At 45.8% G+C, this 24,837-nt stretch overlaps 2 long non-coding RNA genes across 2 annotated transcripts, besides 1 other annotated feature; one reads left to right on the forward strand and one right to left on the reverse strand.

The window, feature by feature from the left end:
• Positions 5,157–5,322: a silencer, noted in NCBI's record as "fragment chr10:3305040-3305205 (GRCh37/hg19 assembly coordinates)". NCBI's record gives its function as "represses an EF-1alpha promoter that drives an FKBP-Casp9 reporter gene in an ReSE screen in K562 erythroleukemia cells {active_cell/tissue: K562}" and the evidence as "EXISTENCE:reporter gene assay evidence [ECO:0000049][PMID:32094911]".
• Positions 12,382–20,012, reverse strand: LOC124902537 (uncharacterized). The gene is made up of 2 exons (XR_007062361.1): positions 19,296–20,012; positions 12,382–14,036 (listed from the first exon to the last, which is right to left on the reverse strand). It is a non-coding gene; the product is annotated as an uncharacterized LOC124902537 (long non-coding RNA).
• On the forward strand, positions 19,026–24,619 carry LOC107987146 (uncharacterized). Its single transcript, XR_001747320.2, has 2 exons — positions 19,026–19,402; positions 24,352–24,619. It is a non-coding gene; the product is annotated as an uncharacterized LOC107987146 (long non-coding RNA).
• The last annotated feature ends 218 nt before the right edge of the window (positions 24,620–24,837 follow it).

Here is a 24,837-nt window from a genome sequence, read left to right on the forward strand (position 1 = left end):
CGGCATGAGTGAAACTGTGACGCAGCTGTCTACTTCCCGGCTGTAAGGTGAAAATGCACCTTCCCACAGGAGGCCCTCCCTGGCCCGGCCTGGACTCACCTCCCAGGCGGCGTCCTTCATGGAGGAGGAGCTGAAGTCTGCGGGGCGGGGGCTTTCATCCTTGTTTACGGGTCTTAATTCGTTCCTCAAGTGCACACTGTTCAAGGAAAGGATGTGTTGCCTCTGCAACCATGGTTTTCTCATTCAACGCCTACCCCAGGACACACCAAGGGAAGGACAGAGCCGAGACCCAGACAGGCTGGTGACAGCAGTGCAGACACATTTCCAGGTGGAGGGTTTGCAGCCTGCTCTAACTTAATGTTCCCGCTCCCACACTCCACTCCCAGTCTGAAATGCATTTCGAGGAGAACAAGTAAAACCTGCCCTCTTAGAGTTCAAAGTTTCCCGGAGACAGCTGAGGCCGATAGCTTATTGTTTAGGTAAGAACAACAGAACAGAGAGGCAGAGGGATTCCCGAGGTTTGCGGAGCGGATCGGTAAGGGTGAGCCCCGAACCTGTCTTCGCTCAGTTCCATAGTCGACAGCCTCCTTACCTACTGCAAGTGTCCAGAAAAACCCGTTTAGAGGACAAGAGGCTCCGGAAAGAAGCCTGCTCAGCTGCGGTTACTAGTCCTGTCATAAGTTATGTGTCTTGAGTGGACCATAAATTTGCACTAAAAAGACTCTCTTTCCTGTACAATCCATGCTTAGCCCTAATTGGCTGTAAAATTCATTCATACCCACCTTGTGTGTCACTCAATTAAAATAACTAGCAACACCACAGGACTCGAGGGCTGCTGGAAAAATGCAGGCACCCAGTGGGCTGGGCCTAAAGATGTACATTTTTCTCCCAGTGATAGCAGCTCTTGGGAAGGAATCGAGGAAAAACCGGTGACGTCTTGTTCTGAGCATCCACATATACACTGGAGGGGTTCTCAGCCTCCAGGCATTTCCGGCATCACAGGGCAGGACATCCTTCAGCTTATCAGAGTCTACCAGTGAGAAATAACACCAACCGTGCAGAGGAGCCGTGGACACCAGCATCCTCATCAGACTATAGTCCTCCCTCTGTCCCTTTCGTTGGTGTGGTCCTCCCAAGTTCTGTTTTAGCTCCTAACTTCTGTAAGCTAGCTCTTCCCGTTCAGTGATTAACGGAGATTCACCCTAAGTCTCCTGGCCATGTTTGCTTTCAGCGATTGTGTTTTTAAAAATGTAACTATAGACCAGCGTGGTGGCTCACGCCTGTAATCACAGCACTTTGGGAGGCCGAGGTGGGCGGATCACAAGGTCAGGAGATCGAGACCATCCTGGCTAACACGGTGAAACCCCGTCTCTACTAAAAAAAAATACAAAAAAATTAGCCGGGAGTGGTGGTGGGTGCCTGTAGTCCCAGCTACTTGGGAGGCTGAGGCAGGAGAATAGCATGAACCCGAGAAGCAGAGCTTGCAGTGAGCCAAGATGGTGCCACTGCACTCGAGCCTGGGCTACAGAATGAGACTCTGTCTCAAAAAAAAAAAAAAAATCGAACTATAGAAGTCTTCCTAGAAAATGGAAAATGACAAGAGAGTGTACTTTATCCTGGTGTGAAGTCCCTAAGATTTTAATGGAGTCCTAGAGACCCCATGTTATCGAGTGCTAGCGAAATGGCTGTGCTCTTAGCCAAGACAAAACGGACCGACTGGATCCCAAGCTATGTAGCTGGGTTAGCAAGAGGCTCAGATAGCGTCCTTCACTGACTGCCTGCAGAATGATGTGATTTTTTAGCAACCAGGTGTCAGAAATCATGGGGGATTCTTACACAAGCGGTGGGTGTGTCCCCTCTCACCCCAGCCCTGGGGTCGCCCAGAGCGGGGAAGCAGGGAGCATTTCCACCTGGGTCTTTCCTCTCTTATTAGGTTTTCAACAGCGTCATCAGCTCTTGGGAGGGGGGAAGAGAGAGCGTGTCCATTTTAGGTCCTTCCAGAAAGACCTGAGTGGCGCTATCGTGCTTCGGCAATGTGTTTCTTTTGACACTTCCTTGCTGTGCCCTGCAAACCTTGAGTGTGTTTTCGGAGATGATTCTTTAGAGACCTTGTCTCTAAAAAAGAGAGAGAAATGAAACCATCCAAGTTCATAATGCTGTGTTGAAGAGAAAATCACGAGGTGCTGTACGGGTGTGTAACAAGTTCTAATCTGTACTGGGATGTCTGAGAAAATGCCATTTAAACAGACACCTGGAGGGAGGGTGGACGGCTGGCCCAGGGGGTCCCAGTAGCTGAAAGCAGTGTAACTACAGGCCTTAAGGAAGGGGCATGGCACACCCAAAAAGCACAACACCCCCACTTTAGGATGGCAACACCACTGCTCCGGGACTTGGCATTTCTGTGACTAAACTCCGGCTCAGCAGAATGCAGTGGAAGGGGTTGAATTTGGAGATGTGGTCTGGGCACAGTGAGGCCTCATGCGCCTGAGAGCAGACTGCAGAGGGCCATGCTTGTGGGAAGTGAGGCAGGCCCCAGGGCACTAGGGGACATGGTCAGCCTTGTCTGCTCCGCCCCCGCGACACTCCCCCTTGAGGAGGAATGGCCGTCAGTGAGAACCGGCTCCTAGTCCTGGTACAGAAATTAACCACGTATGCCGTCTGGGGCCAGGGAAAATCTAACAAAAGCTTACACAGTTCCCTGCACCATGCTAAGTACCTCCTACACAGGATCCTATTTAATTTTCACAACCACTTAGACGAGGCGGTTACTTTTACCATCCCTATTCCCTATTTTCTATAGGAAAGCTGGGTCTGGAGAGCCTGAGACCTCCGGTCTTGTGAGCCCTCCCATTCAGCATGAAGCAGGGCCGGGTCTGGAAGCCAAGTCCACCTCGAACCCCATGCTCTTGGCCAGATGGTTCTTGAGGTCCCTTTTGGCTTGTTTTGGTTCAATTCCAAATTAGAGCCCGCCCCGCTGGTGTCTCTCTTGGTGAGAGTTATTTCAGTGCTGTGGGTGTTTTTCAGGCAGCCTGGTAAAGTGACCTATGTCTGTCTTCCTGGTTCTCCATCCAAACCTAAACAAGGGGACGGAGGTCTCTCCTAAAGATTGGCAGGAAAGCAAAACTCCTCAGAGAGGCCTGAACTCAAAAGTGCTATTCTTTTTAAACAAAGGTTGGACAAACTCACAGTGCACATTTAAAAAGGTTAAATCTGATATAGCCGGAGCAATATTTGTTTAACTACACTAAGTGAAAGATGATTTGGCTGAGGGACCAGGGAGAGACCTTTTATTTGATCTGATTTTACATAAACATTTCTGCACACAGAGGCTCCTGGACCTTATCATAACCATCATTGGATGTCCGCTCAGGGGATCCTTCATCTTCTCTCCAAATGTCATTTCTTAGATGCTGACTCCAGAGCCCCTGGTGATAACTCAAGTTTATTCCTTATCAGATGCACCCAGCTGTAGACACAATACCTGGAGACTGGCTTAGGTAGATTTTTTTTTTTCTCCAACAAAAGTTTGCAGACGGAAAGACGTGTATGAAAATGCTCTGCAGTGGAGGGGCTATCGAGAGATGATTTTTAATCGTCTAAAGCGAAGAGCAGCACTTGGAAGAAGGCGTCTCTCTTGCACATTTCCCTTTGCACTGGCTGCATGGGAAGCCACAGGACTAGTGATGTCGAGAAACTCACCTTCAGCAAGTGTGAAACTCGTATGTGCTCTAAGGGACCTGAGGAAATGAACATTTCTTCAAATAAACCATAACTCAACGGATCAGAATGATCCATTAGCCTGATTTTTGCCTGCTTGTTGCATATTTAGGAAGCAGAGCTCAACCTCAGGGAAAACAGGTCGTGTTAGGGGCTGCTGTAAGAAATCATGTCGAATGTATTTCCCCAGGTTGGTGTTTATGGTGTAGACTCCCGCTCCACATGTAATTTAAAGGTTGATGAGATTTATATTGGGAATGACAAGGCAAGGTACTGGATCATCTGAAATCATTAAAGGGATGTTGGTGTGGGCTCACTGACTTCTGTTTATGGAGACAAGGAATAAGGAAACAAGCTCATATTTTATATAAAGAATTTCACAAGCCAATGGGAACAATTCAGTAATGCTTCTTTAGCCAAGGCGCTATGACTTGAATACCCGGCTCTATTAAGCTTATAAGAAATCAAAGTTCAGGAGAGAAGTTAGAGCTTTGCTGCACCACACAACTCTGGAAGCTCCTGGAATATTTTCTTAGAAGAAGGAGAAGGAAGAGGAGGAAGAGGCAAAGCAAAACTAAAGTACAGTCGGTAGCCTTTGCAGTGCAGGAGCCCACAGTTGTGATGTGCAGATCTGGCTTCTCCAGGGGCGGGGCTCAGGCACTTATGAATGAATTGGCTTAGAAGCCTCTACTGTGAGGTTCTGGGTCTGTTTATCAAACCCATGCCGGAAACGTCGGAGTTGTTAATAGCTTTGGAGTGAGACATACCAGGGTTCAAACCTTAATTACATCAGCTGCTAGCTGGGTAACCTTGGCAAGTTACCTAAACTAAGCTGGGTAACCTTGGCAAGTTGTCTAAATGAAGCTGACCTCTGTCAACCTAAATAACAAAGAAGGAAACTATCTAAAGGACAATGGTGTTTATTCGGGCGTAGGCATTAAGATGGGCATGTGTGTGCCATGGTAAACTAATTGCTTATCCAGAGAAGTAAAAAGAGATAATTTTTTTTAAGAAAATGAGGATTGCAGAATTGTTTTGAGATAATTATCCTGGGCCACAAGGATCAATAACAAGGGTGATGCCTGTCTGAGGCTGGACAGGCAGTTGCTGGCAGATGTCCTGGCAGAAGTGGTTTTTTGTGAAAAGTTGCAATGCCTCACTCATGAGAGCCCTCCCTCCATGGCCTTCCCCAGCGTGTCAGGGTTTTAACACAGGGAACTCCATTTGGATTCTGAAAATTTTCCCTCATGAGGTTGCATGAGGACTAAACGCAACAGTGGGTATGAAGGGCTTGGCATAGTACCTGGCTCGTGTGAATTACTGGTTAGAGAAGAGATGTAGGAAGTCAAATAGGGTAAGTAAAAGAGGACTTGTTGAAGACTACTGGATTCTTTGTAGTATGAATTCTTCTTTCTCCAACTTTGTAGCTTGGGACTTCTGTCTTGGCAAGTACAACACTTTGCAATCCTCCTCACAGCTAGGAAGGGCACAGGACTAAATTCTGACCAATGGACAGGACTGCCTTAAAGGAGAGCGTAAAAGCTGCCCCCTGCTCGTCCTCCTGGCTGCTGTGCGGAAGTGCTGGCTGGCACCTGGGCAGCCATTTTTTACCATGAGGCAGAGCAGTGAGTGAGATGAAATGAAGGAGTCTGGGACCCTGATGCCCGGGAAGCCATCACCCCAGCCCAGCCCTACCACCTCCAGTCTCGTAGCTGTGTGGGGGAGATACCCTTCAATCTCCTATAAGTCATGGATTTTTCCTGTTTGTTACATTCAACCCAGCAAAATTCTAGCTGATATTCAAGATCCCCGAATTAGGTAGTTCAGCTGAGCTCAGGAACTGGAAGAGCTGACGTAAGTGGTGAGGTGGAGGTGGCCTCAGGAAGAGGTGGAGCTGATGATGGACACCCTAGGAGAGGAGACACTGTGAGTTTCTCTTCCTGTCCAGATGAACTCACTCCTGATGCACTGGCCATCTTGTTTTCTGAAAACTTCTTTCTCTTTGGTCCTATTTTAGACTCAGAGCAGTTTGGGAGGCAACTGGTTTTATTTGCACAGTTATCACCTGTTCCAATGAAGAAGAAACACAAAGATGTGCTTCTGTGATTTGAAAGTTTATCCAGGATTCAGGCTTTTTAGGAGTCTATGAGGGTATTGCTTGGCTGAAATTCTCCACATTGCCACTGGTTACTTATTATCGTTTCATCCACATCAGTGCTTCTCAAACTGCTGAGCATTAGTGTCACCTGGGGAGCTTTAAAACATTCTGAAGCCCAGCCCATACCCCAGACCGGTTAGATCACAAGTGGAGAAGCTGGGGCCCCAGCATTGGCAGTTGTTAAAGCTCCCTGGGTGGACCCACCGTGCGGAAGGTGGGAGAAGCAGCAAACGCAATTCTTAGTCTCTAAGTGTGGTCCCCAGGCCGGCAGCAGTGAGAGTTTGTTGGAAACACAGACTCTCAGGAGCTACTGAATCGGAATGTTGTGTCTTCCACAAGCTCCCAGGCCGTGTGCTTCGGTGCCAGGAAGATCAGGCTGCAGGGGGCGTTGCGCTGGTTCCTGGTGAGTGCCATGCCCTTCACGGACTCCCCTAACTCCCCACCTGCCAGCGTTTCTTTCTGTTTGTCTTTCAGGTTGGTTCCTTCACCACATGGATGTTGCTTGGTCCTGCTGGCCATTTAATTCTGCTGCCTTTCAGGGAGCAGAGTGCGACTTTTGCCTTCCTTTTGCCACTTGCCAATCATTTTTTCTTCTTCTCCTTCCTGTTTTGCAAATTGTGGCCACCACACACGACCCAGAAATGACTCCTGGGCAGTGCCACCGCCTCCTCCTGACCCACTCATCTAACAGCTTCCTCTGGCTGCTGGTATTGTTAGGAACAGCCACCCTGGGCCTCCAGCAGGGCCCTCACAAAGTGTTCTGTTTAGGGAATCACTGAACAACAACAGGATATCGTCCTGGCCTTTCTCAGAACCTTCTCTTTGTTTCGTGTTTCAGCCCTTCCTCTACAAACCTGTTCCCAGCAGAGCCAACCCGTAAAGTCAAGTTCTCCACAAAAAGGCAGAGTCAGTTTTCTGATGGAATGTAATTGAAACAGACCTAAGTTAATGACATACAGCATATTTCTTTCGGGCTGTGTTGATACCAGCAGCAATTCCCTGAGCAGAAGGAAGTTCCTACCTGCCACCACAGCCTGCTGCTTGCCGGCCACACGGCTGGCACCATCCCCTCCGCAGGGTCATTCGCAGCTGCCCGTGGTCACACACTCAGCAAAGTCCTGAAAGCCTCAGCGCACTGGGGTCAGCTGGCCATGGGGGTGTGTGGGAGGTGCCACAGCAAGCCCCTCCTGACCCTAGGCGTCCCTCCTTCTGACAGCAGAGGAAAGGAGAGCCTTGGGCTGGTTTCAGGGCTGGGTGCAGCCTGGGCTACACATATTTTTGAGAGGAGATTTGGGGGCACAGCTGGGGACTCCTTAAGCCACCATCTCTCTCCTTTGTGAGCCTGAGTACATGGAAGACCCTACCGACTACAGCTCACCTTTCGGATTAGGGGTTATTTACTTCCAGGTCATTATTTTTAAACTTTTCAAATTAGAATATAATACTTGGTATAGATTTCAAAAATCAAACTTCATAGAATTAAAAGTGAAAAGTCATCATCCATTTCATTCCGTTTCTTGATTTTTTTTTTTTGGTCCCAGTGTAACCATCGCAAGTATTCATTCATGCACTCAACAGTATTTATCAAATTCCTACTGCATGCCATGAACAGCTGTCATTACTGGGGCTGCGGTGAACAAAGAAGTGCCCCTGTGACTCATACCTGAGGGGTGGCAGTGGGGGTGGCCATTGAAGGTAGGCCAGCAAGTCCATGAACATTTCAGGGGTGACAATGTGGGAGGGGTAGCAAATGAAGGGTCAGATGGTCAGACGAGGGCTGCTGCAGAGACGGTAGACCAGATGGCTTCTGAGTTGCCACTGGACACTGTGAGTTGACCTGTGTCCCCATGGAAACACTCATTGCATTCTGTGTGTTTATCTGAGTATAAAGATGCACTTGTCCACCAAGAGATGAATGGATAAACAAAATGTGGTCTATCCATACTATACAATATTATGCAGCCTTAAAGAGGAAGGAAATTCTGGCACATGCTGCCACACGGACGACCTTGGGGACATTTTGCTAAGAGAAACAAGCCAGTCTCAGAAGTGCACTGACTTATGGTTCTAGTTAGAGGAGGTGCTTAGGGCAGTCAAAATCACAGAGACAGAAAGTAGAATGAATGGTGTTGCCAGGGGGAGGGAATGGAGGAATGGGGAGTTTTATTTAGTGGACACAGGGTTTCAGTTTGGGAAGATGCAGAGTTCTGTGGAGGGATGGTAGTCACGGTCGCACAATGTGAATGGATGTCATACCTCTGAATTGTCCACTTAAAAATGGTTAACTTAGCACATCTTATGAAGTACATATTTTACCACAGTAAAAAATTATCAATAAAATATATCTTGAACACTTTTCTCTATTCATACTTTTAATTTAATTTTAATTTTATTTAATTTACTTTTATTTTTCAGACAGGGACTCATTCTTTCACCCAGGATGAAGTGCGGTGGCAGGACCATAGCTCACTGCAGCCTCAATCAACTCCCGGAGCTCAAGCAATCCTCCCACCTCAGCCTCCCAAGTAGCTGGGACCACAGGCATGTGGCACCACACCCAGCTAATATTTTGTATTTTTTGTAGAGATGGAGGCAGCGGGGTGGGTGGGTCTCGCCAGTTGCCCAGGCTGGTTACGAACTCCTGAACTCAAGCAATCTGCCTGTCTTGGTCTCCCAAAGTGCTGAGATTACCGATGTGAGCCACTGTGTCTGGCCACAAGTATTATTACTAATATACCATAATTATTTATGTCTGTATTTCTTTATATCACAGGACTAACACATGTGTATGGGATAATCTTTTAAACCTGATGCTTTTCTGCCCCTCTGTATCTCCTGATTTTTCTCAGTTATGTGACTGTGTTTAAACTTCCAACACTTATATCATTTAGAAGTTTCTCTGATGAAAAGCCTCCCATGATTCCTAGTCTCATGCCCTGGAAAAAACACTTTTAACAATTTCTGTGTCTGCTTCTCGATTGCCCAGCCTTACTTGGTGTCTGCTGATGCTCGTTTAGAAGAATTAATAATCCAGTAGACTTACCTACCAGGTGCTAAGCAAACCTCTTGTTCTTTTGTTGTTGTTGTATAGATGAAGGCTTCCTATGTTGCCCAGGCTGGTCTCAAACGTCTGGCCTCCCGTCCTTATGCGCCAGGACAACAGGACTGAGCCACCGCACCATCCAAGTCTCTTGCTTTTTAATAGCTTTCTTATTTTTCTTTTATTCATCCAGGGGTTACTTTGTGAATTTAAATAATTCACTTAAAATAACATTTTGAAATTTATCAACTTTATCTACTGTTGTATGAGATATGAGGAACTTAGCAAATGGACTCATTCTTCATTTTCTTCTTCCTCTCTCTCCTGATTTTTCCAAGTTATGTTATTATTTTTAAATTTCCAAAGCTTGTGTCATTTAGATTGTTCTATAAATATAATTAAGCAATCAGTGGTTGTCTAAGTGTGGTTTCTTCTTAAAATGTATACTCAATAAATACATTTCCAGTATCATGAATATATAAATACTTTTCACTCTAGGAAAAATAATAAAAAAAAGGTCTTGATGTCCTAAGCCATTAGGTTCTAAAATGTGTCTTTTTGTTCATGTATATTGTTATAAAAGTGAATAAATGGGATTTTTGATACCATGTATATGTGGAGAGTGTAGTGGAAATGCTTTTGGTTGTGGTGGTGGTGGTGGTGGTGGGGTGGACAGGAAAGATGGCCTCATTTATCTGCATAAAAGCTGATCAGTTAAAAGTTCCTGAAAAGAGAGCCTGAGTCCTGTGGGTGACACTGAAGTCTCCTCCACTTTCCTCTGCGGCTCTCAGGCCTCCCTCCCTTGGCCTCCTTGGCCTCCCTCTCCGGGCGGGTGGTCCACTCACGTAACTGCTCTCTTTACTTCTGTTCAATCTCTTTTATCTCAATAACACTCTGTGCCTGCATGCCACCTGGCTGATCTTGAGATCCTGTGACTCGAAGGCTTTCCTTCCCTTATTTAAGGTGAGGGCTTAAACTTTGGATCCTGACGTTTTGTAAAAGTAGAAACATTTTTGTTGTATTAAAATATACTTCAAGGCCAGGCATGGTGGCTCACGCCTGTAATCCCGGCACTTTGGTAGGCCAAAGCAGGCAGATTGCCTGAGCTCAGGATTTGCGACCAGCCTGGGCAACACGGCGAAACCATGTCTCTACTAAAATACAAAAAATTAGCCGGTCATGGCAGTGTGCGCCTGTAGTCCCAGCTACTCAGGAGGCTAGGAAAGGAGAATTGCTTGAACCCGGGAGGAGGAGGTTGCAGTGAGCTGAGATCGTGCCACTGCACTCCAGCCTGGGCGACAGAGTGAGATTCTGTTTCAAAAAATAAAATGAAACATATATACTTCAAAGGCAATTTGGTAAGGTGGGGTAATAGATTTCCGGTCCAAATTCCTGAGCTGGGTGTTATTTCTCAGGACAGATTGGTATTCCTGAATTACCCGTCAGTTCATGTCACCTCACATCCCTGATAACCGGGTTGCCTTTTGTCTTGGCCTGATCGGGGACACTGGGCTTCAGACAGACCCAAGCTTCTCGTCAGGTTGGGACAGGACCATGCCACAGTCATTCCTTACCCTCCATATTCAACAGGTCTAAGTGGGGGAATAGTGCAAGTGAGTGCAGATGCAAAGTCAGCAATTCCATTCCGTCTGCACTGACTTAATGCTCAGAGGCCTGGGGTCATGGGAGAGCTCCTGATGTGAAATGGGTCAAGACCCATGCCCTGCATTCTGCCCAGTGCCTGGCATGTAGTAGGCAGGAAACGTGTGTGTGGAAGGAATGAATTAATCTGGTCTAAGTTGCAAAAGCACTAAAAATAAACACACATGTGTTCTGGTATCAGAATACACGCATAGGAGCTTCCTAGATAAATGCAGAGGTACACAGTCCCAGTCCATTTCAGCTGCTGTAACAATGTCCCACAAACTGCCTGGCTGGAAAACAACAGACACCCGTGTCTCAGGGTCCTGGAGGCTGGAAGTCCAAGTGTGCAGGCAGGATCAGGGTCTTGCGAGGATCTACTTCCTGGTTCATAGATGGCACCTTCCTGCTGTGTCCACAGGGTGGAAAGGGAGAGGGAGCTCTCTTGAGGCTCTTTCATAAAGACGCTGATCTCTTTAATAGGGCTCTACCTTGAGACCTAGATGAACCCTTCCAAAAAACCCCACCTCCTAACACCATCACAGTGGGGTTACGATTTCAATACATGAATTTTAGAGGGACACAAATAATCTATGGCATGGACCATGAAATATTATCACCCTAAATGTGACCTACTGAATACACCCATTGTTGGTCTGTCACTGTCTATTAATTTTTTTTTGAGACAGTTTCTTACTCTGTCACCAGGCTGGAGTTCAGTGGAGTGATCTTAGCTCACTGCAACCTCCGCCTCCTGGATTCAATTGATTCTCCTGTCTCAGCCTCCTGAGTAGCTGGGATTACAGGTGTGTGCCACCACACCTGGCTAATTTTTGTATTTTTAGTAGAGACAGGGTTTCACCATGTTGGCCAGGCTGGTCTCAAACTCCTGACCTCAGGTGATCCACCCACCTCGGCCTCCCAAAGTGCTGGGATTATAGGCATGAGCCACTGTGCCCAGCAAATCTCTTGTTAATTGATCCCTACACATTATTAAGTGGAGTCCAGGCTGCTCTAGGTCTACTCTGTCCTTCAAGTACTCGCTGGTGCCTTCCTGGAGTTACTGCTCATTGGGACTAGAACTCAGGTGAGCGTTGAAATCCTTGGACTCGTGAGTTCTGCTATGAAATCTTTTATTCTCAAGGGGGCTACTGTTAAGCATTCCTATGACGATAATCTTCCGCTGTTGCACGGGCCCATTTGGAGACCTCATGAACAGTTCTGACTCAGACACAAGGACATTGGCCTTACGGGGGTCAAATGGTTCACCAGTTTACAAGATGAGTAGACTCAGTTCGACGTCGAGATCAGCTCAGCTCATGAAGAATTTGTCAAGCTTCCTGTCGATTTGCATCACTTCATGGATAACCTGGTCTATTGGGACTGCTGTTATCCAAGATAGTTTTTAAAAAATTGAATCAATGGGAAAGTCAGTGTTTTTACATACATGTGATCTTCTTCAAAAAAGAGCAATGTGCTAGGCAAAGCAGGCTAATGTGTTTGTTGGCAGAAAGAGTTAGAAGGTAGAATAAAACTGAGAAAAATGTCTTGACAGCTGGGTCTTCAGGTCGGAAGCCGTATTTGAGCACAGCTGCATATCTCGACACAATGCTAGGTTTTGGCCGGCCTCTTCGAACTAGGCTTGATTTGAAAGTCCTAACCCTGTAATGTGGTGAAATCTTCAGCTCTGCTGCCTTCTGTGTCTGCAAAGGAATGAGGTGCCCAGGCTCACTCCAGCATTGAAAATCTGCGGGGATGGTCATTGGGTCAGGAGCCACGCACAGCCGCAATTAGATAAAATAATTTGCATTTCAACTGCAGGAAGTGGAATACTGCCATTCATCAGAGAACGGTTTTTATTTATTTGGGGTTTCAGGGATTATTCATGAGGGTACTCTGGGAGTGCTTTCAACAGTGAAAAATTACATAGGATATTGAAATAGCATGGGGAAAATGAATGCTGTTTTATCACAGGTTTGCCTGTTTGCTAGTAATAAAAACAATTTTGACTAATTCAAAGCTGGCCTTATTCTCAGAATCTCAGTTTTTATTTACTGTTTGAAGCAGTAACATTCAACCTGGGTTCAAAATGAGAATTGATACACACGACTTTATTATATGCTAAAATATTATTAAGCTGACATTGGCTTACTCAAAAGACTGTATAATTTGATCCAATGGTTACTTTCTAGCTGAATATATACCATTTTATTCCTCAATTAGAACACTGAAAATTTGAAATGTCTTTCATTCAGAGACCACCTCCTCCCTCCACTTTAAGTCAGAAGGATTTTGCTGCCATGGTGCAAGCCCCGGGCTCTGACAGAAGGATTTGTTTTCAGAACTATTTTTTATTTGGGAACTCTGTGTGGCCTGATTAAGAAATTTAAACGTTACTTACTGAGTTCACCTCTGAAGGGAAACATCTCATTTTAATGAGGCTCTCTGGAGGCGTGAGGGTCATATTGCCCAACTTTGGATTTTATTTTATGCTTCATGCTAAAAATAGCACATTATCTTTTCATGTATCCATGGCAATCACAGTGCAATGCCCTTTAAAAATGACAAAGCGTCATTAGGTGACCGAGAGCAAAGCCCGCGTTTCTTCCTCATAGCCTGGCCTGTGATTCCATGAGAGGCATGACTGCTGCAGATGAGTCCCTTCTCCCGGATTCCCCTTGCCTGCCTGTTGCTTTCCCCTTTACCTTCTCCACTTTCCAGCACAACCTTGGAAAGAAAGGACCCCACAGTCTTCATTGCTAGGAACCAGCAAGCGAGTGTTCACGGAAATGCGGTCAATTAGGCTGGTAGGAGGGGTAAAAATGACGGGTCTTTCATGCGCATGAAAGCAGGGATTTAGAGCGCATTGCACGGTGTTCCCAGGCTCCGGAGTACAGTTCCGATCTGTATGGATTTAAATATTCAAGGCTGAATAAGGATGGAGGTTTCACTGAATAATGAGCCAGCTCACTGTAAACCCAGCAGAGTTTTCATCCAGCCATGTAATGCTCTCCCACGCTGGCTTTCAAAGTTCCATCATCTACTCGAAGAAGAGAGGAAGGAGAAGACCTAGCAAAACCCCAAGGTATTTAGATTAGCCAAAGGGAGCATCACTTTGCTTAAGTGGAGTGAATTGTTTTCCTCTAGTCATTCTTTCACGTGTAGGTGACTGTTCTCACTGCTAATGATTATGCAGCTATGGAGATTTCAGCGAGGAGCCCATCCACCAAGCCTGGCTGGCATTTGAGTTATGATGGAAATCTGGTGATTTTCTGTTGCAGTCATTTGTTGTTACAACGCACACAGATTTCACTCATCGCCAAGTGATTTCATGAACAGGAATGGAAACATCGTTGGCCCTTATCACAGAGAGGTCCTGGTGGGCAGGGACGTGACCTGCGGCTGTGCCAAGTGCAGTGTTTGCTGGAAGGTTTCCTTGCTGCACTGTAGCCACTCTGCTTATGAGCATCCAGGGACAGGCTGCAGACAGAAAGGGGGAGAGAAGGGTACAAGCTAGAAAGGACCACTTGGTGGGAGAGCTAACAACAGATAAGAGGCCACAACCCATCGGACGGATTACCCTATTATTATCGACATGGCCTCCTCCTACTCTATCGCCTGTGATGATAGCGAAGGGGCTGACAGCCCGTATTCCTCGTTGTTTTACTATCTTAGCAGAAGCATACTGCTTGCACAATTTCTGTTCTCTTCACATTCACACCTTAAGAATTAGATAATAGGATGAGAGGGAATGAAAGTGAAGTCTTTTGAATTATTAAAGGATGCTCTCAGCCTAATACAGGTATGCTATCTAAAGAACAGCCACAAGTAAAATATTTGCTTGTAATACATTCCTTTTTAAAAGAATTGCTGTTAAAAATAGGCATGGGAGGCACAACTCACTTAAATAATACTAATTTTAAGAAATTGTCATAAAATAAAACAATTCCCTAAGCCTACTCTCTACTTACATTTTGATCAACTAGACCTACTCTTCTCTCCCTCTCTCATTTCTCTCTCTTCCTCACACACGTGCATGCGCGCACACAGGCAGAAACACGCACAATCCTAGTGCCCGAGAAAATCCAATTATTACTTCAAGCTAAACTGAAGTTATTTAAAACAGATAAAAGCTTTTCTTTGGCATGACGCTATTATAAAAGCTTTTGTTTCCAGGTGGCCTTTGGGGGTGATCACAGTGTGATAAGAATCTTTTGGTACTCCACTGATTTCAGTCTCTTTTGTTAGAGTTGCGGAACTTGAACAAACTTTTTCCTCCTATTGTATACCACAGTGGGTTTCCTGCATATTCAACTCTGGGGATTTCTCAGGCATGCCTATGTTCTCTTCCTTGATTCTTTGACACCTGAGGACTCTGCAGTTTTAAAGAAAGAAGATGCAACTTTCCTACAGATAAGTCCATGAAAAACTGTTCTTTCCTTCGTCCATGTTCTTTAAAAATATAATTTATCTCCTAAATTCCCCTTTGAATCAGTCTTTTATGAAATACATTTTAGGGGAATACTATTGTGTTACATTTTCAATAAAAACACTTGGCCCTATCACATGCCTTTTATGTCCAATGAACACAAAGAACAAAATTTCAGAGTGAATAAATGATATGGATGAACCACGGATTACCACTAAATCCATAACATTATTTCACTCGCTTTATGAATCTCTAAGCACAAAAGTAGCCCCACAGGCAAAAATAACACTATTTAGAACATGCTACGTTTCTGAGGCACTTAATGTTTGCCAGTGATCTTTTTATTGCTCTTGTTTTATCTTGATAGTACCAGGACCAGCAAACTGTGAACCCAAAAGTCTCAATCAATTTAGAAAGTTTATTTTTGCCAAGATTAAGGATGTGTCCACGACAGCCTCAGGAGGTCCTGATGACATGTGCTCAGGGTGGTCGGGGCACAGCTTGGTTTTGTAACTTTTAGAGAGACATGAGATCCATTGATATGTGTAAGATGTACACACTGGTTCGGTCCAGAAAGGCAGGACCACTTGAAGCCAGGAGGGGACTTCCACGTCAGAAATAGATAAGAGACAAAAGGTTGAATTTTGAGTCTCTGATGAGCCTTTCACTGAACACACAATTTACATGTGAGAGGCGGGCAGAGGAACAGTCACTGATGCCTTAGTCTGGCTCAGTGAATCAATAGGCAGAGGAAGCGATCATGTATGAATTTGTCTCAGGTGCACAGAGGGATGACTTTGAGTTCTGTCTGTCCTTTGTCCACAGGGAATTTCCTGTGGGCAAATTGTGTGGGAGGCATGTAGCTTCTTACCTTTGTAGCATGTTATTTAGGAAAAAAATGGGAGGCAGTTTTGCCTGACGCAGTTCCCAGCTTGACTTCCCTTTGGCATAGTGACTTTGGAGTCCCTAGATTTATTTTATTTTATTTTTTTCACAGAACATAGTTTAGGACATTGTTAGCCTAATTCACAGAGAAAGAAATGAAAACCCCAAGAGGCTGCTTGACATCACAGCATGAGTCCAGGGCAGCTCCAGAAAGAAGGAGCAGGGGAAACGAGGAGAGGATGGGGTGTGGGTGGCAAAAAGAGCAGGTGCCGCAGGCAACAAGGCGATGGCGCCAGTGACGGAGGAGTGAGCGATGCCGACATAAAAAGGCGCATGACGATGAAGAGCCAGCGTCATGGCCTCCACCTGCACCTGTGTATGTTATTCAATCACAGTAGACTCAGGATTCCCACCCTAAGCATTGTCTTCACTGAGGGCTGGGAAGAACTTAGGAAGGCCTGTGGCACTTCCCACGCCCCTGGAAGGGACACCTGTATCCACATCTTACTCCCTGTCTTATTCCCTCCCTGTGCTGGGCCGCAGAGCCCCGCAGAGCTGGCTTTGCCTAGCACCAATCATCCACACTGCGCTCTGAAGCCACCGCAACCAGCCAGCCCACCTTGCATCCTTGTTACCAGGGTCTCCGTGCCACATCCCATACCTCGCCAGTGATCTGAACCCGGTACGGTTCTGCTCAGCCCCAACTCTGACCCAAACTCCCTCCTGGAAGACGTTCCCTGGGCCACATGACATTTTCGGCCGTTTTCAGCACTCCTTCTCCCATAGCCTCACCCTTGTTGATTGGGGTCGAACATTGGCGTTGAATGTAAAAGAGTGGCGGGATTAGGAGGGGAGCCTCTATGAAGAGAGATAGAGGGTTGAAAGTTCTCTCACCATGTTTCAAACACTTGACCTTTAATTCAGCAGCAAAGGAGAGTGAGAGGGAGCAGCAAGTAAAGTGGGAGGAGCACGGGGCGAGGAGTGGAGCCCCAGGAGCTGGGTGAGGAATGTGATGGGGTGGGGGTGACCAGGTGTATCCCACGGTGCTGAGAGTCAGGGGAGGGGAGGACTCCACATTCACTGTTGGTTTAGGCAAACAGATGCCCTGGGAAGTCTGGCACAAGCTGTCCCCAAGGACTAGCAGAGGTGAAATCAACCAGAGTGGCTTCAAAAGAAATCGGAGGAAAGAGACAGAAACAGCAAGCCTGGGCAGCTTTGGGGTTGTCGATTAATTAGCGTAAGTCACGGCAGCTTCTCTCACAAGGAAGCCAACATCTCTGTGGCTAAACACTAGATTTTATTTTTCGCTCAAGTTGATCAAGTCTAATGGGGTGGGAATTTGAGGGGGGAGGTGAGAAATCCCTGTTCCACAGAGTCTTGTAAGGACAGCTTCCTTCAAATCCCAGCATCTCTAAGGTCCTCTCCACGTGGCTGACACACAGGGACATGCTCTGCTGGTGCTGGCATTTCATGGGCCGGGGAGGAGTTGGGTCACTCCCAGGAGTGTTTCATTACCAGCACTCAGTCACATGGCCGGCCGTAACCGCAAGTGATGTCTAGAAATGTGTCACTAACTTGGAGGGACAGTGATGGACAACTTCATGTCAACTCGACTAGGCTAAGGGGTGCCCAGGTTGCTGGTAAGACATTATTTGTGGGTATGTCTGTGGGGAAGTTCCTGAAAGAGACCAGCATTTTAATTGGCGAACTGAGTAAAGCAGGTGGCCTTCCCCAGGGTGGGTGGGCTTCACCCAATCTGTGGGGGGCCTGAGCAGGACAGAAAGGCCAAGGAATGGAGACTACTCTCTCTGTGTGTCTGACACACAAAGCTGAGATATGGCTCTTCTGCCTGTGAGCTGGGATCCTGCTGGCAGATCATCTGGGCCTCTCACGGTGGATGGTAGATTTTGAGGCCTCTCATGGTGGACAGTAGATTGTGGGGATTTTCAGCCTCTGTAGTCACATGGGCCGATTCCTTAAGGTAAATCTCACCCTAGATAAAGGTATGGCTCCCACCAGTTCTGTTTCTCTGAGAGCCCTGACTCTACACACGGTCAAGAGGCTTGGTAGACATCCAGACCATGCCTGCCCTGGGAGAACGGAGTTACTAGCTGGTGGGGAACGCGGTGTAGACAGGGTGACTTTATATAAAATTGGAACATGATAGATGGGTTTTGATGCTGATAGGAACGATTCAGCTGAGGGATGCCTGTGGGTCATGAGGCCCCCAGTTGACTGAAAGGGGGAAATTTAATGGTAGGCGGGGAGAGAGAGCTGCTGCAGACATGTGCTTGAATTAGTGAGGGGGACGGGACCCAGGGCATGAAGCCCCACAGCAGTGGCTCGGGCAATAGCGTCGTGGGTTTATCTCTGGCAAGAGGAGAACAGGTGGAAGCAAGTCCTAGTTGGGTCCTGATGGGGCCAGTGAAGGCTCTCTTCTCATGGGTCTCGGTCATCCCTGATCAGGATGAGGGAAGTGAGGGACATGGAGTTACCAGGGGAATGGGCTGGCGATGAAATTGGGCTGAGAAGGAAGAGGAACTGCCACCAACTTCTCCCACAGTGACGCCACTTGGTTTTTGAATGGATGCCACCTTTTATAGGACGCAGCTTTCTCAGTATTTGCTCCCTCAACCACGTCCCGACTCCAACCCTCCACATTTATGTCAATAGCATCATTGTTCACATTTTTATTTTATTTATTTTATTTTACTTATTTTATTATGAGACAGGCTCTCATTCTGTCACTCAGGCTGGAGTGCAGTGGTGCGATCGTGGCTCACTGAAGCCTCAAACTCCTGGGCTCCCTCGATCCTACTGCCTCAGTCTCCCAAGTCACTGGGATTGAGTTAGCTTTCATTTAAGACACAAACTTAAACATTATTCTTGAGTTTTCTCTCTCAGACCCACCATCAGTCCACTGGGGTCCAGCAAGCCTCACGTCCTGCAGGCGTCCCCAGCTGAACTCCCCCTCTCCCCTCTCCCCCGGTCCCAGTTGCTTGTCCCCTCCCCCTCCTCCAACTGCCCTCCCGGCCACACCCCACATTTCCTGGACCAACCCAAGTGATCCTTAAAAAGATGGCATCATTTACATCATGCCACTCCCTTTCTCAAAATTCTTCACCATCTTTTCTTCCAACTAGGAGCTCAAACCCAAATCCCGAAACAAGCACGCCCCAGGTTTTCAAACCCAAATCCCTAAACAAGCACGCCCCAGGTTTTCAAAGCCACGTTGGCATTTTCAGCGGCAAACTCCCCCACCCAACACCCACCATTCTGCTTGGGTTGTCAGAAAATTGGCCAAAATCTCTTATTCATTCTACTATTTTAAAATTCCTATGTTCACCGTGATATGATCTAAAAATGCAGATTATATCCATTTTCCTTGTTGTTTTCCTTCCAATCCTTTTGCTTCTTTTTCTCACCTTGTCCTTCCGGGAGCCCCTGCAGCTGACGCTGATGTCGGAGTCTCGGGTGTTCCTTCTGGTCTCGCTCCCGACTTGAGGAGGCAGATTTCAACATGGAGCAGCAGGTAGGGTTCGGCTGCAGCTTTTTGTTTCGTCTTTGTTCTGTTTTGTATCCGAACTCTGTTAGCTTTTCGACCTTCCCTTTTATCCGGAGCACGTGGATCCATCCTGTGTTTCAGGGTGGGGTTTTACTCTTCTGCTGAGAGTGTGGCCTTTTCTGATCCCGGCTTTAGGAGAGCAGGACTTCCTGTTGAAGCCCCCACATTCCCATGTCTCCAAACTTTAAGAGATCATGAAATTCCAGTTCACCTTTCCTTGGTTTAGCTGGCATCCTTGGGACGAAAGCTGGGCTGTGCTTGGCCACCCCCTCTGTGTTACAGGCTTATGGTCTACCCTGATAATCGCTCTCTATCACATCCGCTAGTCAGTCATTTTTAAATAGGCTTCTTAGAGTTCCTTCCGCGTTCTGTTACTCTCACCGGGAAAGCTGATCTGAGCAACGTGCCGTGCCCCAGCACTGAGAAGCTCTCTGCTTAGCCCCAGAACCTCACTGCTGCTCTTTCCTGTCTTCTTCTTAAAAACAATGATTGTGAGTCTCTATCTCTCAGAAGACCATTTTCTGTATTTTACAATGAGATTTCAAGAAAGAGAAGAGATAGGTTGGTGTTATCCACTGTCTTTGCGTAAATCCCAGCCCCTGTGTTTGCCCTGCACCGTGATGTTCTCCTCCTGGCCAAGAAAAACATGTGGGGGGAGATCACATAATAAAGTGGGGGATTGCCAGCTGAACAGAGACTCAGAAAGAAAGCACTTAGAAAACTGTCAGGTGAGTTCTCCCTAGCACATTCAATTACATGTTGACATCTCAATAAAATAAAGTGATTCAAAGTTTACGGATTTTAAAGAAGCATACTCAAACGTATACACTGAAAAGTGTTGTTTCCTTCAAGATAATCCCTTTGGAAGGGTGCATACTTCCAAAATGAGGCAATGAGAATTACAAAAAAAATATTTTGGGGCCTCTCTCTCTCTCTTGTTTTTTTTTTTTTTTTTTTTTTTTGAGAAAGAGTCTTGCTCTGTCACCCAGGCTAGAGTGCAGTGGTATGATCTTGGCTCACCTCTGCTTCCCAGGTTCAAGTGATTCTCCTGCCTTAGCCTCCCAAGTAGCTGGGATTACAGGCACCTGCCACCATGACCAGCTAATTTTTGTATTTTTAGTAGAGAAGGGGTTTCACCATATTGGCCAGGCTGGTCTCAAACTCCTGACCTCAGGTGATCCGTCCACCTTGGCCTCCCAAAATGCTGGGATTACAGTTGTCTCTTTTTTTGAATGCTAGCCATGTATCCTATGACGGTGGAGTTTTTATTTTGAAAACAGTCAACATTAGATTCAGTCAAGTATGGTGAATAAGAAATGTTCAATTAGCATGTCATCATTTTTGATAACTCTGTGTGTGTGTGTGTGTGTCTGTGTGTGTCTGTCTGTGTGTGTGTCTGTGTGTGTGTGCAATTAAAGAAATGCAGTTATTGGTGGTTTCTTTTGTAACTGGAGGTATTTCTAAAAGGATGTTTTATTAGATATTGAGAGGGTGTTTGGAAATCCAATGGAGATGACTGGTTTAGCTTCTGGGGTGACAGATGCTAGTCCTGGACCCCTCAGTCGTGACCCTCAGAAGGAAGTCCAGGATGACTGGTTTAGCTTCCGGGGTGACTGACGCTAGTCCCAGACCCCTCAGTTGTGGCCCTCGGAAGGAAGTCCAGGATGCATAGGGGCCTTTCCACCCCCTTGAAGTTCTGAGCACTCTTACGATGGTCCAACTGCTTCCTGGATTTTTTGTTAACTTCCTGTTCTTTAAACAATCTCTTCTTTTCTTATATCTTGCCTTGTTCCAGGAGTAGTTTCCTGATAAGAAAATCTCACTGAACTGTCTCAATTTCTAGACTCCTGTTTTGTGAGACTGCTAGCTTCCTAAAATTGTGTCAGATCAGCTCCCAGGAGAGGTAAACATTATTAGCAGGTGCACTGAGACTGTTATCTGCTAACAGCATCCAGCAGGAAAATGAGACAAAAGGAAAAAGGATGTTTATTTAATTTTAGTGTAAAATTGCATAAATAAATGAAGCCATGGAGAAATTAGATATCTATAAGCAAAAGAAGAAACCTCAGCCTCACACCTTATACAAAAATTAGCTAAAAATGGATCATAGATTCAAGTATAAAACATAAAACTATACATTTAGACAATAACATAGGGCAAAATCTTCAAGACCTAGAGTTTGCAAACATGTCACCAAAACCACAGTCCATAAAAGAAATAAATCAATAAATTGGATTTCATCAAAAAAGGCTTGGCTCTTTGAAGGACCCTGTTAGCCTTAAGATCATGTGCAGAGAAGGACCCTGTTGAGAGAAGATACAGACTGGAAGAATATACTTGCAAACCACATATCTGACAAAGGATTGTTATCTAGACATGTAAAGAACACTTAAATACAACAGTAAAGCAAACAAGCCAATTAGAAAATGTGCAAAAGACATGAAGAGACATTTCACTAAAAAGGACATGTGGATGACGAAAAAGCACGTGGAAAGATGTTCAACATTACTCGCTGTTAGAGAGATGCGATGAGTTCTTATTACACACCTATTGGCTCAGCTAAATTAGAAAAGAGTAACCACACCAGACGCTGGTGAGGACATGGAGAAACAGGATCATCCACACATTGCTGGTGTGGGTATCAAAGGTGTAGGCCACTCCGGAGAACAGGCAGCTCCTTAGAAACTAAACATACACTTCCCAGTAGGACTCGGCAGCTGCTCTCCTGGCCATTTATCCAGAGAAATGAAAACTTCCGTTTGCAGAAACAACTGTGCATGGTCGCTTATGGCAGCGTTATCTGTAATAGCAAAAAAATGGAACTCTCCAAAATGCCCCTCACTCGGTGGACGGGTAGGCAAGCTGTGGCCATCCACACCCGGGAATATTACTCAGCAAAGACAGCAGCAAGCTACAGGTAGATCTCAAGGGCATTATGCTGAGTGAAAGAAGCCAACCCCGACAGGTCCCATGCTGTAGAATTCAATTCATATAACATTATCAAAATGACAAAGTGATAGTGATAGGAAACAGATTGGTGGCTGTCGTGAGCTAGAGATGGTGGAGTTGGGGAGGGGAGGAGCGTGTGACTGTAAACATGTAAGTATTCATTTTCCAGGGTTACCATAACACATGATCACAAACTGGGTGGCTTAATACAATTGGAATTTATCCTCTTACCATTCTGAAAACTAGGAGTCTGAAATCATGGCGTGGGCAGGGCCACACTCCCTCTGAAGGCCCTAGGGGGGATCCGGATCTCTCTTCCCCTCTCCCAGCTTCCAGGGTCCGCTGAGCGTCCTTGGCATCCTTGGCTCCTAAATGCATCCGTCCAGCCTCTGCGTCCATCTTCCCATGGCCTCCCCCAATGTGGACTTCTGTGCCTCTTCCCCGCTTCTCACGAGGAGACCAGTTGTTGGATTTGGAGCCCGCCCGACTCCAGTATGACCTCATCCATCTTCTCTTGATTACATCCATAAAGACCCTATTTTCAAATAAGGTCATAGTCAGCATGACTAGGGCCAAGGACTTCACTCCAACCTATTGTTTTGGGGGACACAATTCCACCAGGTAGCTCCAGGGAGATCTTAATGGTGATAAAATGTCCTGTACGTCCATCACAGAGGTGGCTGCACAGATGTGCACAGGGGGTAACATGGTACCAGGCACACCTTGTACCAGGGACAGCTTCCTGGGTTTCTGTTGTGCTATAATCATGCAGGATTCACCCACTGGGAGAAACTGTATAAAGGAGACAAAGGACATCTCTGTAGTAGCTTTTCAACTTCGTATGAATCTATAAATATTTTAAAATACAAATTTTAAAAAGCAAACAAAAATATCTCACTTCTACGTTCCCCCTCTTGCCTGCATCCACAGGTCAAAGTAAGTCACATAATCTCTGCTGTGTGGGAGACACACACACCCCACAAACAAACACAGCCCACATCTATGTCATTTGCAGGCTGACTTGAGTTTTAAAACAGTTCTGGGCACGAATGTGTGGTTTTCTCTGTAGGAGCAGACAGGGCTTTCTTCCAGCCAGAAAATTCACAGTTCAATTGAGGAAATGATGAACATCAATTGAAAAACAATTCCAAAATACTTCACAAAATTGCCTTTCATGGTTTTTCACTTGCTTATTTCTTTTTACACTTGGCCAGTGGGTCAGACCCCATTTCCCCGAGTGATCAAGAATAACCGAATGAGCTGAATCTTTGAGAACAATTAGAGTCCTAGAGTCCTGTCAACTCTGCTAGGAAACACGTAGTTCTTGGTGAGTCCAGTGTCTTTCAGTGAAATTTGGTTTTCCTTCAAAGCCATCCACATGTATTGTGTTTAGAAGCCTGAAGGAAAGGCTGGGGGATTTGGCATCCATGTGCTCACCACAATAGTTTATCGTGTCAGCTTATTTTTGATGTGGATTTTGTTTTGAAGTGCCTTGGAGCTATTGATTCATTTTGGAAAGAAAACAAAATAACCAACACATTTATATTCCATTTTGTTTACTAATATGTTAAGGCAGTCGCTTTTACTGTAGACCTAACAGAAACTCTTTTAAAACCTCATCATGTGGAAATTAAAAATATGGCTTTAGCAATAAACATAAATGCAGAACAGCTTCATTGAAACATCTCTGAACCTGCTGGCTACCTTGGCTGTTGGGGTTGGATGGCATGCAAAGTGACATATTTATTTCCTGTCTCACTATTGATGACTGTTGCATAGGATACATACTTTATTCTTTGTTAATGTCAGACACTCAGGCTAAAGGGTTGAGACCTTAATAGGTAGTCTTTCTGAGCTCTGATGTTTCGACTGTGCAAGCCAAACTCACAATGTGGAAAATGGAACATTTTATGAAGTTCATACATTTTCAAAATTGCTCCTACAATGATGCCTTTGTTTTGTGTTAGGACTGGAAAGATGGCTCCTATCTATTCCAAATAACTCCAATATCGCCTCAAGTGAAGAGGAAAGCCTCATATTTCAAGGCCACTGACTGGAACCCATTCACATGCCACAGGGAGACGGATGCCGTTGTTTTTTTTACGGCAAAGGAAACAGTGATGTATTGGAGTCTCATCACCCCGTCTCTCCATCATCACAAGCCAGTCTGGCTTGTGTAGCACGATTAAAATGTTATGTCTCCCAGTGAGCTAGTAAATATCAACACTTTCTCTCTTTCTGTATGTGTGTCCCTTTTTAGTGGATAAAGCCATTTGTTGACAAAAGTATGGACATTCTTATGGGATTGTTTTTGGAAAAGGATAACATGTAATTTCAAATTCAACATATGGTAGTGGTCAAATTGTGTTCCTACTGTGGAAAATGCTTGAATAATAACCTACTGCATTCTCTTGGCCAGTACACAGAGCACAACTTGATGAATTTCACCAGTT

Source organism: Homo sapiens, chromosome 10 (assembly GCF_000001405.40).
Source record: "Homo sapiens chromosome 10, GRCh38.p14 Primary Assembly".
Lineage (NCBI taxonomy): Eukaryota > Metazoa > Chordata > Mammalia > Primates > Hominidae > Homo > Homo sapiens.